The 16,015-nt window shown below is 38.9% G+C and overlaps 1 pseudogene; it reads left to right on the forward strand.

The window, feature by feature from the left end:
- On the forward strand, positions 224 to 1,816 carry MTIF2P1 (mitochondrial translational initiation factor 2 pseudogene 1; annotated as a pseudogene).

Consider the following 16,015-nt stretch of genomic DNA (forward strand, 5'->3'; position numbering starts at 1 on the left):
ACTCATAGGTGGGAACTGAACAATGAGAACACTTGGACACAGGGCAGGGAATATCACACACTGGGGCCTGTCGTGGGGTGGAGGGATAGGGGAGGGATAGCATTAGGAGAAATACCTAATGTAAATGACGAGTTAATGGGTGCAGCAAACCAACACGGCACATGTATACATATGTAACAAACCTGCACGTTGTGTACATGTACCCTAGAACTTAAAGTATAATAAAAAGAAACAAAAAGAAAAAAGAAAAACTCAAGTGGCAGCAATGGAAGCTGGAGGTACCACTCAGCACATTGGTGCCTTTCTTGTGTCTCTGCCTTCGGGGGAAAAGATAACTTTTCTTGATACTCCGGGACATGCTACTTTCTCAGCAATGAGAGCAGAGGGGCTCAAGTCACTGACATTGTCATCTTGGTTGTAGCTGCAGATAATGGGGTGTAGAATCTATTCAGCATGCCAAGGATGCTCAAGTTCCTATTGTCCTTGACATAAATAAATGTGACAAAGCTGAGGCTGATTCTGAGAAAGTGTAAAAAAAGCTATTGGCTTATGATGTGCTGTGTGAAGATTATGGAGGTGATGTTCAAACACTGCCTGTCTCTGCACTTGCAGGCGATAATCTAATGGCTTTGGCAGAAGAACAACTGCAGAAATGTTGGAATTGAAAGCAGAGCCCCACTGGTCCAGTGTAAGGAACAGTAATAGAGTCACAAAGGAAGAGGTCCTGTTACTACAGCTATAATTCAAAGAGGAATTTTAAGAGAAGACTCTGTTCTGGTTGCTGGAAAAAGTTGGGCAAAAGTACACTTAATGTTTGATGAAAATGGAAAAACAATCTGTGAGCCCTATCCCAGCATGGCAGAGGGAATTATAGGCTGGAGAGACCTTCCTTCTGCAGGAGATGAAATTCTTGAAGTAGAACCTGAGCTAAGGGCATGTGAAGTTTTGACTGGAGGAAGTATGAACAAGAACAGGAGAAAAGTCAACAGGATCTGAAAATAATAGAAGAAAAGTCAAAGGAACATCAAGAAACACATTGGAAAGCCCGTGAGAAGTATGGCTGTGTGCAGTGGAAGGAGAGATCATTTCTAAAGTATTTAGAAAGAAAAGAACAAACATCCTTAAAGCCAAAAGAGAAAATGGAAAGAGATTCAAATGTACTTCCCAGTGATTATTAAAAGTGATGTTGATGATCTGTTGGGGCCATTTTGAACATTATAGATACCTATGATGCATCACACGAGTGTGAACTAGAATTAGTACATTTTGGAGTGGGTGATATAAGTGCAAATGATGTTAACCTTGCTGAAAGATTTGATGGTGTTATATATGGCTTTAATGTGAATACAGGCAATGTTATCCAACAGTCAACTGCAAAAAAGGAGTAAAAATTAAACTTCACAAAATAATTTACCGTCTTGCTGGAGATTTGCAAGAGGAAGTGAGCAGCAGATTACCCTGCGCTGTGGAAGAGCACCCAGTAGGTGAAGCGTCTATACTAGCTACCTTCTTTATAACAGAAGGGAAGAAAAAAGTTCCTGTGGATTGCTGCAGAGTCCAAAAGGGACAGTTAGAAAAAAAAATTAAATTAGCCTGTAAAGGACATGTAATTTGGAAGGGATCATTAACCTCACTGAAACACCATAAAGATGACGTTTCAATTGTCAAAACTGGAATGGATTGTGGTATCAATTTAGATGAAGAAAATATAGAATTTAAGGTGGGAAATAAAATTGTTTGTTATAAAGAAAAGCAAATTTGAGCCAAGACTTTTTGGGATCCAGGATTTTAAAATTACATTAAAAATGTAAATAACAAAACAAAAAAAAAAGACAAAGAGGGGCATTACATAATAGTAAATAATTCAATTCAAGGAGAAGACCTAAATACCCTAAATATATATGCACCTAACACAGGAGCAATCAGATTCACAAGGCAAGTTCTTAGAGACCTACAAAGAGGTGTAGATTCCCACATAATAATAGTGGGAGACTTCACCACTCCACTGAGAGTATTAGATAGATCATTGAGGCAGAAAATTAACAAAGATATGCAGGACCTGAACTCAGCAATGGACCAAATGGACCTGATAGACCTCTACAGAACTTTCTACCCCAAAACAACAGAATATACGTTCTTTTCATCACCAAATGGTTCATACTCTAAAACTGACCACATAATTGGACATAAAGCAATCTTCCACAAATGAAAAAGAACCAAAACCATCCCAAACACACTCTTGGATGACAGTGCAATAAAAATAGAAGTTAAGACTAAGAAAATTGCTCAAAACCATGCAATTACATGGAAATTAAACAACATGATCCCGAATCACTTCTGGGTAAATAATTAAATTAAAGCAGAGGTCAAGAAGTCCTTCTAAACAAACGAGAACAAAGATACAACATACCAGTATCCCTGGGACACAGCTAAGACAGTGTTAAAAGGGAATTTCATAGCACCAGGTGTCCACATCAAAAAGGCAGAAAAATCTTAAATTAATAATCTAACATCATAACTGAAAGAACCAAAGAAGCAAAAACAAATCAACACCAAATTCAGCAGAAAACAAGAAATAACCAAAATCAGAGCTGAATTGAAGGAAATAGAGACATGAAAGACCATTCAAAAGATCAATGAATGCAGGAGTTGGTTTTTTGAAAAAGTTATGACAGACTGGCCACTAGCTAGATTGATAAAGAAGAAAAGAGAGAAGATCCAAATAAACACAATTAGAAAAGATGATGGGGATGTTACCACTGACCCCACAGAAATAAAAACAGATATCAGAAACTATGAAAAACACCACTATGTACACAAACTAGAAAACCTAGAAAAGAATAAATTCCTGGACACATACACCCTCCCAAGACAAAACTAGGAATAGACAATATTCCTGAACAGACCAATTACAAGGTCCAAAATCGGATCAGTAATAAATAGCCTACCAACCAAAAAAGCCCAGCACCAGATGAATTCACAGCTGAATTCTACCGGCTGTACAAAGAAGAACTGGTACCATTTCTACTGAAACTATTCCAAAAATTAAGGAGGAAGGACTTCTCCCCAACTCATCCCATGAAGCAACATCCTGACACCCAAACCAGGTACAGATACAACAAAAAAAGAAAACCTCAGGCCAATAATATCCTTGATGAGTATCTATGAAAGAATCCCCACAAAACAAAAAACAAAAACATTTGCAAACCAAATCCAGCAGCACATCAAAAAGCTATTTCATCATGTTCAAATAGGCTTCATACCTGGGATGCAAGGTTGGTTCAACGTATGCAAATCAATAAATATGATTAATCACATAAACAAAACTAAAGACAAAAGCCACATGCTCATCTCAATAGAGGCAGAAGAGGCTTTCAATAAAATTCAACACCCCTTCATGTAAAAACTCAATAAACTAAGTGTGCAAGGAACATACTTCAAAATAATAAGAGCCATCTGTGACAAATCCACAGCCAACATCATACTGAATGGTCAAAAGCTGGAAGCATTCCTTTTGAATATTGGCACAAGAAAAGAATGCTCTCTCTTACCACTCCTATTCAACATATCATTGGAAGTCCTGGCCAGATCAGTCAGGCAAGAGAAAGAAATAAAGGGCATCCAAATGGAAAGAGAGAAAGTCTAAATATCTCTGTTTGTAGATGACATTATTCTAAATCTAGAAAACCCCATAGTCTCAGCCAGAAAACTCCTTCAGCATGGTACTGGTATAAAAACAGTCACATAGACCAATGGAACAGAATATAGAGCCCAGAAAAAAGGTAGCAAACTATGACCATCTAACCTTTGAAAAAGCTGACAAAAACAAGTAATGGGCCTCCTGAAACTATTCCAAAAAATTGAAACGAAGGGACTCCTCCTTAACTCATTCTATGAGGCCAGCATCATCCTGATATCAAAATCTGGCAGAGATACAACAAAAAAGAAAACTTCAGGCCAATATTCTTGATATACATTGATGCAAAAATCCTCAACAAAATACTTGAAAGCCAAATCCAGCAGCAGCACATCAAAAAGCTTATCCACCACAATCAAGTAGGCCCTGGGATGCTAGGTTGGTTCAACATACTCAAATCAATAAGTGTGATTAATCACATAAACAGAACTAAAGACAAACAACCACATGATTGTCACAATAGATGCAGAAAAGACTTGATAAAATTCAACATTCCTTCATGTAAAGAACCTCCAATAAGCTAGGTATTGAAGGAACATACCTCAAAATAATGAGAGCCACCTATGACAAATCTACAGCAGGCATCATGCTGAATTGGAAAAAGCTGGAAGCATTCCCCTTGAAAACTGGCATAAAACAAGGATTCCCTCTCTCACCACTCCTATTCAATATAGCATTGGAATTTCTGGCCAGGGCAATTAGTCAAGAGAAAGAAATAAAGGGCATTCAAATAGGAAGAGAGGAAGGAAGTCAAACTATCTCTCATTGTGGATGACATGATCCTATATCTTGAGAACTCCATTATCTCAGCCCAAAAGCTTCTTAAGGTGATAAACAACTTGAGCAAAGTCACAGGATCCAAAATCAATGTGCAAAAAATCACCAGCATTCCTATACACCAAAAACAGTCAAGGCAAGAGCCAAATCATGAATGAAATTCCATTCACAATTGCCACAAAAAGAATAAAATACCTAGGAATACAGCTAATAAGGCAGGTGAAAGATTTCTACAAGGAGAATCACAAACCACTGCTCATATAAATCTGAGGTGACATGAACAAATGGAAAAAGATTCTATGTTCATGGATAGGAAGAATCATTATCATGAAGAATGTACTATTCCCACTAAACTACCATTGACATTCTTCACAGAATTAGAGAAAACTATTTTAAAATTCGTGTGGAACCAAAAAGGAGCCTGAATAGCCAAGACAATTCTAAGAAAAACAAAAAACAAACAAACAAATGAACAACAACAACAACAACAAAAGCAGGAGGCGTCACACTACCTGACTTTATACTACAGGGACACAGTAACCAAAATAGCATGGTGCTGGTATAAGGACAGGCACACAGACTAGTGGAACAGAACGGTGAACTCAGAAATAAAGCTGCACACCTACAACTATCTGATCTTTGACAAACCTGATGAAAACAAGCAATGGGGAAAAGATTCCCTATTCAATAACTGGCTAGCCATATGCAGAAAATTAAAACTGGGCCCCTTCTTTACACTATATACAAAAATTAACTCAAGATGGAGTAAATACTTAAATGTAAAAACCAAACCTTGGAAAACAACCTAGGCAATAACATTCAGGACATAGGCACAGGGAAAGATTTCGTGAAGAAAGCACCAAAAGCAATGGCAACAAAAACAAAAATTGACAAATGAGACCTAATTAAACTAAATATCTCCTACACAGCAAAATAAACTATCAACAGAATAAACAAAAAACCTACAGAATGGGAGAAAATTTTTGTAAATTATGCATCTGACAAAGATATAATATCCAGCATCTATAAGAAACTTAAACAAATTTACAAGAAAAAGAAAAACCCCATTAAAAAGTGAGCAAAGGACATAAACAGACACTTCAAAAGAAGACATTTATGTGGACAACAAACATATGAAAAAAAGCTCAACATCACTGATTATTAGAGAAATGCAAATCAAAACCACAGTGAGATATCATCTCACACCAGTTAAAATGGCCATTATTATCAAGTCAAAAAATGACAGATGCTGGTGAGGTTATGGAGAAAAAGGAACACTTTTACCCTTTTGGTGAGAGTGTAAATTAGTTTAACCATTGTGGAAGAGAGTGTGGCAATTCCTTAAAGACCTAAAGATAGAAATACCATTTGACTCGGCAATCTCATTACTGGGTATATACCCATAGAAATAGAAATCATTCTATTATAAAGACACATGCATGTGTATGTTCATTGTAGCACTATTCACAATAGCAAACACATTCACAATGGCAAAGACCATCAACTACAGACTGGTTAAGTAAAATGTTGTACATACACACCATGGAATACTGTGCATCCATAAAAAGGGATGAGATCATGCCTTTTGTGGGAACATGGATGGAGCTGGAGGCCATTATCCTTATCAAACTAAAACAGGAACAGAAAACCATATATGGCATGGTCTCACTTATAAGTGTAACTAAATGATGAGAACACATGACACACAGAGGAGAAAAACACACACTGGGGCCTATTGGAGGGTAGAAGGCGGCAGGAGAAAGAGGATCAGGGAAAATAACTAATGGATACTAGGCTTAATACCTAAGGTGATCAAATAATCTGTGTAATAAACCCCCATGACACGTTTACCTGTGTAACAAATCTGCATATCCTGTGCACGTACCCTTGAACTTAAAATAAAGGTTAGAAAAAAGCAATATGCACAGAGGAAAAAAAAACACAATGTTATATGAGTAAAACAATTACATAAGAAATGTATAAAACCAATAAAGTTCAAAATAATAAAAAATGGGAAAAAGACTCCCTATTCAATAAATGGTGCTGGGATAACTCACTAGTCATATGAGAAGATCCCTTCCTTATACCATATACAAATATCAACTCAAGATGGATTAAAGACTTAAATGTAAAACCCAAAACTGTAAATATCCTGGAAGATAACTTAGACCACATCATCCTGGACATAGGAATGGGTAAAGATTTCATGATGAAGACACTGAAAGCAATTGCAACAACAGCAAAAATTGACAAATGGGATCAAATTAAACTAAAGAGCTTCTGCATAGCTGAAGAAACTATCAACAGAGTAAACAGACAACCTACAGAATGGGAGAAAATTTTGCAAACTATATATCTGACAAAGGTCTAATATCCAGCATCTATAGCAAACTTAAACAAACTTACAAGAGAAAAACAATCCCATTTAAAAGTGGGCCAAGAGCATGAACAAACACTTCTCAAAAGAAGGGATACATGTGTCCAAGAAGCATGTGAAAAAAAGCTCAATATCACTGATCATTAGAAAAATGCAAATCAAAATCACAATGAGATACCATCTCACACCAGTCAGAATGGCTATTACTAAAAAGTCAAAAATAACAGATGCTGGTGAGGTTGCAGAGCAAAGGGAACACTTATACACTGTTGTGGGAGCATAAATTAGTTCAACCATTGTGAAAAGCAGTATGGTGATTCCTTAAAGAGCTAAAAGCAGAACTACAATTAGACCTAGCAATCACATTACTGGGTACATACCCAGGGGAATATAAATAGTTCTACCATAAAGATATATGTACACAAATGTTTACTGCAACATTATTCATGATAGCAAAGATATGAAATCAACCTAAATGCCCAACAATGACAGACTGAATAAAGAAATTGTGCTACATATATACCATGGGATACTATGCAGCCATAAAAAACAATGAGATCATGTCTTTTGTGGGAACATGGATGGAGCTAGAAGCTATTATCCTTAGTAAACTAACACAGGAACAGAAAAGAAAATACTGCATGTTCTCACTTATAAGTGGGAGCTAAATGATGAGAACTCATGAACACAAAGAAGATAACAACAGACACTGGGGCCTATTGGAGTGTGGAGGGTGGGAGGAAGGGAAAGGGGCAGAAAAAATAACTACTGGGTACTAGGCTTTATACCTGAGTGATGAAATAATCTGTACAACAAAATCCCATGACAGGAATTTCACATGTATCCTCAAACCTAAAATAAAAGTTAAAAAACAAAACTGTCATACAAGAATAGTGTATCCAGCAAACTTATTGTGAAGATGATATAAAATGTTTTCCAGGCAAAGGAAACCTGAGAGAATTCACCACTACCTGACTCATCTTACAAGAAATGCTAAAGGGAGTTCTTCATTCTGAAAGAAAAAACCATTAATGTGCAAAAAAAATTAAGGTATAAAGCATGTTGGTAAAATTATGTTCATGAATAAACTTGAGAGGTGAAGCCAGCTGGGCTTCTGGGTCAGGTGGGGACTTGGAGAACTTTTCTGTCTAGCTGGAGGATTGTAAATGCACCAATCAGCATTCTGTAAAAATGGACCAATCAGCACTCTGTAAAATGGACCAATCAGTAGGACATGGGTGGGGCCAAATAAGGGAATAAAAGTTGGCCACCTGAGCCAGCAGTGGCAACCCACTCAGGTTCCCTTCCATGCTGTGCAAGCTTTGTTCTTTCACTCTTCATAATAAATCTTGCTGCTGCTCATTGTTTGTGTCCGCACTACCTTTATGAGCTGTAACACTCACTGCGAGTGTCTGCGGCTTCATTCCTGAAGTCTGCGTGACCATGAACCCACTGGAAGGAACAAACTGCGGATGCACCACCTTTAAGAGCTGTAACACTCACTGTGAGGCCCGCAGCTTCATTCTTGAAGTCAGCGAGCTTGACCTTTTCTGTAAGAGGGAAGGCAAATGGAGTGAAATACCTTATGTCCAAGCTTTCTTTTCATTGAAGGAGAATCCACAACTATTCAAAGCTTCTAATTTACATCCCACAAGAGGACCTCTCAGCTTACCCCCATATCCTAGCCTCCCTATAACTCCCCTTCCTATTAATGATAAGCCTCCTCTATTATCCCTGCCTAGAAGGAAACAAGGAAAGAAATCTCCAAGGGACCACAAAAACCCCCGGGCTATGGGTTATGTCCCCTTTAAGCTGTAGGGGGAGGGGAATTTGGCCCAACCTGGGTACATGTCCCCTTCTCCCTCTGATTTAAAGCAGATCAAGGCACACCTGGGGAAGTTTTCAGATGATCCTGATAGGTATATAGATGTCCTACAGGGTCTAGGGCAAATCTTTGATCTCACTTGGAGAGATGTCATGCTATTAGATCAAACCCTGGCCTTTAATGAAAAGAATGTGGCTTTAGCTGCAGCCTGAGAGTTTGGAGATACCTGGTATCTTAGTCAAGAAAATGATAGAATAACAGCTGAATAAAGGGACAAGTTCTCTACCAGTCAGCAAGCCATCCCCAGTATGGATCCTCACTGGGACCTAGACTCAGATCATGGGAACTGGAGTCACAAACATCTGTTGATCTGTGTTCTAGAAGGACTAAGGAGAATTAGGAAAAAGCCCATGAATTATTCAATGATGTCCACCATAACTCAGGGAAAAGAAGAAAATCCTGACTTCCTCGAGAGGCTACAGGGGACCCTAAGAAAATATACTCCCCTGTCACCTGACTCCTTCAAGGATCAATTGATCCTAAAAGATAAGTTTATTACCCAATCAGCCACAGACATCGGGAGAAAGCCCAAAAGCGAGCCCTGAGCCCTAAACAAAATCTGGAGGCATTATTAAACCTGGCAACCTTAGTGTTCTATAATCAGGACCAAGAGGAACAGGCTGAAAAGGAAAAGTGAAATCAGAGAAAGGCCACAGCCTTAGTCATGGCCCTCAGAAAAACAAACCTTGGTGGTTCAGACAGGACAGAGAATGGAGCAGGCCAATCACCCAGTAGGGCTTGTTATCAGTGTGGTTTGCAAGGATATTTTAAAAAAGATTGTCCAATGAGAAACAAGCCGCCCCCTCGCCCATGTCCATTATGCCTATGCAATCATTGCCCCAGAGGACAAAGGTTCTCTGTGTCAGAAATCCCCAACCAGATGATGCAACAACAGGATTGAGGGTGCCCAGGGCAAGCGCCAGCTCATGTCATCACCCTCACTGAGCCCCGGGTACATTTAACTATTGAGTGCCACGAAATTAACTTCCTCCTGGACACTGGTGCATCTTTCTCAGTGTTAATCTCCTGTCCCAGACAGCTGTCCTCAAGGTCCGTTACCATCTGAGGAATCCTGGGACAGCCAGTAAACAGGTACTTCTCCCACCTCCTCAGTTCTAACTGGGAGACTTTGCTACAGATGGTAAGTATGCTTATCTAATCCTACATGCCTATGCTGCAATATGGAAAGAAAGGGAGTTCCTAACCTCTGGGGAAGCCCCATTAAATACCACAAGGAAATCATGGAGTTATTGCATGCAGTGCAAAAACCCAAGGAGGTGGCAGTCTTACACTGCTGAAGCCATCAAAAAGGGGAAGGAGAGGGGAGAGCAGCAGCATAAGCAGCTGGCAGAGGCAGGCAAAGACCAGCAGAAATGAAAGAGAGAAAGAGACAGAAAGTCAGAGAGAGAGAGAGAGAGAGGAGGAGACAGAGACAAAGAGGGAGTCAGAGAGAGAGAGAAAGAGAGAGATAGAAAGCCAAAGAGAGAGAGGAAGAGACAAAGAGGGAGTCAGAAAGAGAGAAAGAGAGAGACAAAGAAGAAGTCAAAGAGAAAGAGAGATGGAAGTAGTAAAGAAAAAACAGTGTATGCTATTCCTTTAAAAGCCAGGGTAAATTTTAAACCTATAATTGATAATTGAAGGTCTTCTCCATAACCCTATAACACTCCTAACCACCGTGTTGTCAGTGTAAACAAGGGTGTAGCCCAAAAACACTGAGGCCACTGACAACCCATAGCCTTCCTATCAAAACCGTAGCCTTCCTATCAAAAATCCTTAACCCAGCAGGTTTCCTAACAGGGGATCTAAATCTTAATTACTATACAAAGGTCCTATCAGACCTAGGAAGTACTCCCTTCAGAAGTGGATGATAGATGGTTCCTCCCAGGTGATTAAGGGAAAAAGACACAATGGGTATTCAGCAAGTGATAAAGAAACTCTTGTAGAAGCAGATTTAGGAAAATTGCCTAATAACTGGTCTGCTCAAACGTGCCAGTTGTTTGCACTCAGCCAAACCTTATAGTACTTACAGAATCAGGAAGGAGCCATCTATACCAATTCTAAGTTAATATGGACTGAACGAGGTCTTATTAATAGCAAAGAATAATTGAAATCCCAAACTTACAAGGTTTTCAACAATAGTAAAGTTTGCTAAAAGTTAACAGTGTAACATGTATTATCCTACTACCACATGCTCTCAAAGGATTTCTCAGACAGTTCGCAAAAAATAACAAAATCTATCCTTACTCTACAATCCCAAATAGACTCTGGTAGCAGTGACTCTCCAAAACCGCCAAGGCCTAGACCTCCTCACTGCTGAGAAAGGAGGACTCTGCACTTTCTTAGGGGAAGACTGTTGTTTTTACAATAACCAGCCAGGGATAGAAGAAGATGCTGCCTGGCATTTACAGGAAAAGGCTTCTGAAATCAGACAACGCCTTTCAAACTCATACCAACCTCTGGAGTTGGGCAACATGGCTTCTCCCATTTCTAGGTCCTGTTTCAGCCATCTTGCTATTACCTTTGGGCCCTGTGTTTTTAACCTCCTTGTCAAATTTGTTACCTCCAGGATGGATGCCATCAAGCTATAGAGGTCTTACAAATGGAACCCTAAATGAGGTCAACTAACAACTTCTACTGAGGCCCCTGGATCAACTCACTGGCCCTTTGTCTGGCCTAGAGAGTTCTCCTCTGGAGGACGCTACCACTGCAGGCCCCCTTCTTCACCCCTATCCAGCAGGAAGTAGCTAAAGTAGTCATCGCCCAATTCCCACAGCAGTTGAGGTGTCCTATTTGGAGGGGGGATTGACAGGTGAAGCCAGCTGGGCTTCTGGGTCAGGTGGGGACTTGGAGAACTTTTCTGTCTAGCTAGAGGATTGTAAACGCACCAAAGCTCTGTGTCTAGCTAGAGGATTGTAAACACACCAGTCAGCATTCTGTAAAAATGAACCAATCAGCACTCTGTAAAATGGACCAATCAGCACTCTGTAAAATGGACCAATCAGCAGGACATGGGTGGGGCCAAATAAGGGAATAAAAGCTGGCCACCAGAGCCAGTAGTGGCAACCTGCTTGGGTCCCCTTCCATGCTGTGGAAGCGTTATTCTTTCATTCTTCATAATAAATCTTGCTGCTGCTCACTCTTTGGGTCTACACTACCTTTATGAGCTGTAACACCATGAGGGTCTGTGGCTTCATTCCTGAAGTCAGTGAGACCATGAACCCACCAGAAGGAACAAACTCCGTATGTGCCACCTTTAAGGGCTGTAACACTCACCACGAGGTCTGCAGCTTCATTCTTGAAGTCAGCGAGACCAAGAGCCCACCAGAAGGAATAAATTCCGGACACAAACTCAGAATACTCTAATACTATAATTGTAGTGTGCAATCCACTTATAAATCAAATATGAAGCCTCAAAAAGCAAATCTATCAAAAACAATCATAGCTACAGAAACTTGTTAAGAGATAGGTAATATAAAGATATGTAAAGTCAATTAAAATTCAAAATGAGAGAGAAATGAAGTTAAAATGTGGAAGTTTTGTTTTTTCTTTGTTTGTTTCTATTCTTTGTGATCTAAGATAAATTGTCATCTCTTTAAAATAACTTGTTATATCTACAAGACGTTTTTTGTAAACCTCATAGTAACCATAATGCAAAAACCTATAATAGATTCACAAAAATTAAAAAGCAGCAAATTAAAACATACTACCACAGAAAATCACTTAACCACAAAAGGAGAGTCAGAAAAGAAGAAAGGAAGAGAGGAGTTTCAAAATACCAGAAAACAAGCAACATAACGGCAGTAGCAATTCCCTACTTATCAATAATAACACTGGATTTACATGGACTTGATTCTCCAATTAAAAGGCATAGGGTGGCTGAATGGATAAAGAAACAATACCTAACTACATGCTGCCTATAAGAAACCCACTTCACCTCTAAACATATAGATAGACTGAAAGTGAAGGGGTGAAAAAAGATATTGCATGCAACTGGAAACTAAAAAAGAGTGGGAGTAACTATACTTATATTAGAGGAAATAGACTACAAATCAAAGATTGTAAAAAGGGATAAAGAAGTTTACTACATAATGATTAAAAGGTCAATTCAGTAAGAAAATGTAACCATTATATACATCTATGAACCAACACTGATAGGTCTATACAAATATAAGTATAAAAAACTGATTAAAGTAATTGAACGAAACATTTAAATAAGGATATTCTATGTCATGGATTGGAAGAATTAATATTGCTAAAATAACAATACTATCCAAAGCAATTTACAGATTTAATGCAATCCTTATTAAAAAACCAATGCCATTCTTCACAGAAATAGGACAAATGCTAAAATTTATATGAAACCACAAAGACCCTGAAGACCCAAAGCAATTTGGAGCAAAAAAAGAAAAAAAAAAAAAAAAGGCTGGAGGCATCACATTACCTGGCTTCAAAATTTACTGCAAAGATATAATAACCAACTATTCACAATAGTAAAGACATGGAATCTATCCAAATGCCCATCAATGGTAGACTGGATAAAGAAAATGTTGTACATATACACCATGGAATACTATGCAGCCATAAAAAGGAACAAGATCATATCCTTTGTAGGGACATAGACGGAGCTGGAAGCTGTTATCCTCAGCAAACTAATGCAGGGACAGAAAACCAAACACCACATATTCTCAGCTGAATGAGCTTAATGATGAGACCGCATGGACACATACTGGGCCTGTTGGGGGTGGGGTGTTGCAGGAAGGAGAGCATCAGGAAGAATAGCTAATGCATGCTGGGCTTAATACCTAGGTGATGGGATGATCTGTGAAGCAAACCACCATGGCACATACTTACCTACGTAAGAAACCTGCATATTCTGCACATGTACCCTGGAACTTAAAACAAAAATTAAACATTAAAAAAAAAGCTATAGTAACCCAATTAGCCTAGAACTGGCAAGAAAACAGACACATAGACCAATGAAACAGAATAGAGAACCCAGAAATAAACCGATGCATTGACAGCCAACTCATCTTCAACAACAGCACCAAGAGCATACAACAGGAAAAGGAGTGTCTGTTTAATAAATGGTGCTGGGAAAACTAGGTAATTACATGTAGAAGGATGAAACCAGACCCCTATATCTCACCATACACAAAAATAAAATTAAAATGGATTAAAGGTTTAAATCTAAGACCTAGAACTATGACTATGAAACAATTAGATGAAAACTTTGGGGAAGTGTTCCAGGACATTAGTCTGAGCAATGATACTTTGTGTAAGACCTCTAAAGCACAGGCAACCAAGAAAGAATAGACAAATGGGATTGAATCAGGCTAAAAAGCTTCTGCACAGCAAAAGAAACAATCAACAATGATTTAAGGTCCTGTATGGGGGATTTGTTAAAGTATAATCAAAATGGAGGCCACAGTATATCCTTAGGTTAACCACTCATAGCCACATGACCAAAATTTAAGCTATCCTGACTTCCCTGAAATGCAATTTCTAACCATTAACAAAAGTTAAGCTTTCCTTTCTTGTTAGTATGATGAAATTGAACCAATTTGTTACAGACAAATAAGCTTATACAGCTCTACTTGCCCAAAAAGGAATATAAGTTTTTAACAGCCAGTCACAATAGAGGTCAATGCACTTCCTCATTGATGCTTTATAAGCTGCACTGTAACTCTCATGTCAAGTTTCTTACTACTTTTGATTTGAAGTCTTCCGGTTTGTGAACTATTCTTTTGTATGTATGATAACCTGCATATTCCTTTTTTACTTGATCTGACTTTATTTTTACGCGGTCCTCCATGGTGTTTGGGTTTCTCACAGTGTGGCAGTCTCAGGATAATACCGTAGTACTTTTCACCAGGCAGCTGTCTTCTATGAGCAAGGTCTCCAAGAGAAAGGAAGTGGAAGCTCTTGTGGTCTGGAACAGAAAGCCCACACAATCTTTCTCTCTCGCTCTCTCTTTTTTTTTTTGAGACAGAGTTTTGCTCTGTTGCCCTGGCTGGAGTGCAGTGGCGCAATCTTGGCTTACCGCAAGCTCTGCCTCCTGGGTTCAAGCAATTCTCCTGCCTTAGCTTCCCAAGTAGCTGGGATTATAGGCATGTGCCACCACGCCCAGTTAATTTTTTTTTTTTTTTTTTTTTGCATTTTTAGTAGAGATGGGGTTTCACCATATTGGCCAGGCTGGTTTCGAGCTCCTGACCTTGTCATCTGCCTGCCTCAGCCTCCCAAAGTGCTGGAATTACAGGCGCGAGCCACCAGGCCTGGCCAGCCCACACAATATCTCTTCAGCAATATTCAGTAGGTTAGGGGAGTCACAGAGCCCACCCAACTCAAGGGGAGAAAACAAAGGACCCTTATTCCCCCTTTATACACTTCATGATGATGAGAGTATCAAAGTGCTTGTTGCAATATTTATTTCACCAAGGAGGAAAAGGTCAGTTTGGACCAGAAAGGTCAGAAAAAGTTATATAGGGAAGGCAGTTGATAAGCTGGTTTTAAAGGATATGGAGCATTTGAAAAAGTGGAATGTGCATAAGGCTGGAAATATCAAATATCTAAATATAGAACAGGAACAATGATGAAAAGACTTTCAAAATGCTTAGCAAAATGAGAATTATATTTCTTTCTCAACTTTTTTGTTCTAACAGCAAAAGCAACAGTGGGGATCAGCATCAACTTGGGCAAGTAAGTTTTTCTTGTCATAAATAGGCTGATTCAACTGAAAAAAAAATGTTTAAGTAAGTTCAGCTCATTTGAAGACGGGTGAATACTGTGTCTAAGGATTTTATGAGACTAACTGGGAAAAGTCAGTCAGAGTTTAGTTTGAGGTGAGAAGTGCTTAGTGTTGACACTCTACCTAATTATAGGGAAACGTGTGCAGTTAGTCCTGAGACCAGATGCAGGGTAGAAAGAAAGAGGCGTGATGTAGCAGCCATTGATTAGGCAATTTGGGTTTAGCAAGCCCAGTCAATGCCCTCAGAGGGTCAACAGTGTATACAATTTAGTCCTTGAAGGCATCTTTTAAAGTTTCATTCAAAAGATTTTAATCATTGTGACCATAATTTTCTGAGAAGAGGCTTTTCTAAGATTTGTTATTCACAGATAAATAGTTGTCTAATTTGTGTGTGTGTGTGTGTACATGTGTGCATGCGTGCATTCGTGCATGCGTGCCTATCTAGCCTTTTTTGAACACAATGACTGGCACCTGGTAGATAATATGGTTGAATGAATTGTATTATTCATATTCTCTCACTGCCAACTTGAAGAA

This window comes from Homo sapiens, chromosome 1 (genome assembly GCF_000001405.40).
Source record: "Homo sapiens chromosome 1, GRCh38.p14 Primary Assembly".
Taxonomy (NCBI): Eukaryota; Metazoa; Chordata; class Mammalia; order Primates; family Hominidae; genus Homo; species Homo sapiens.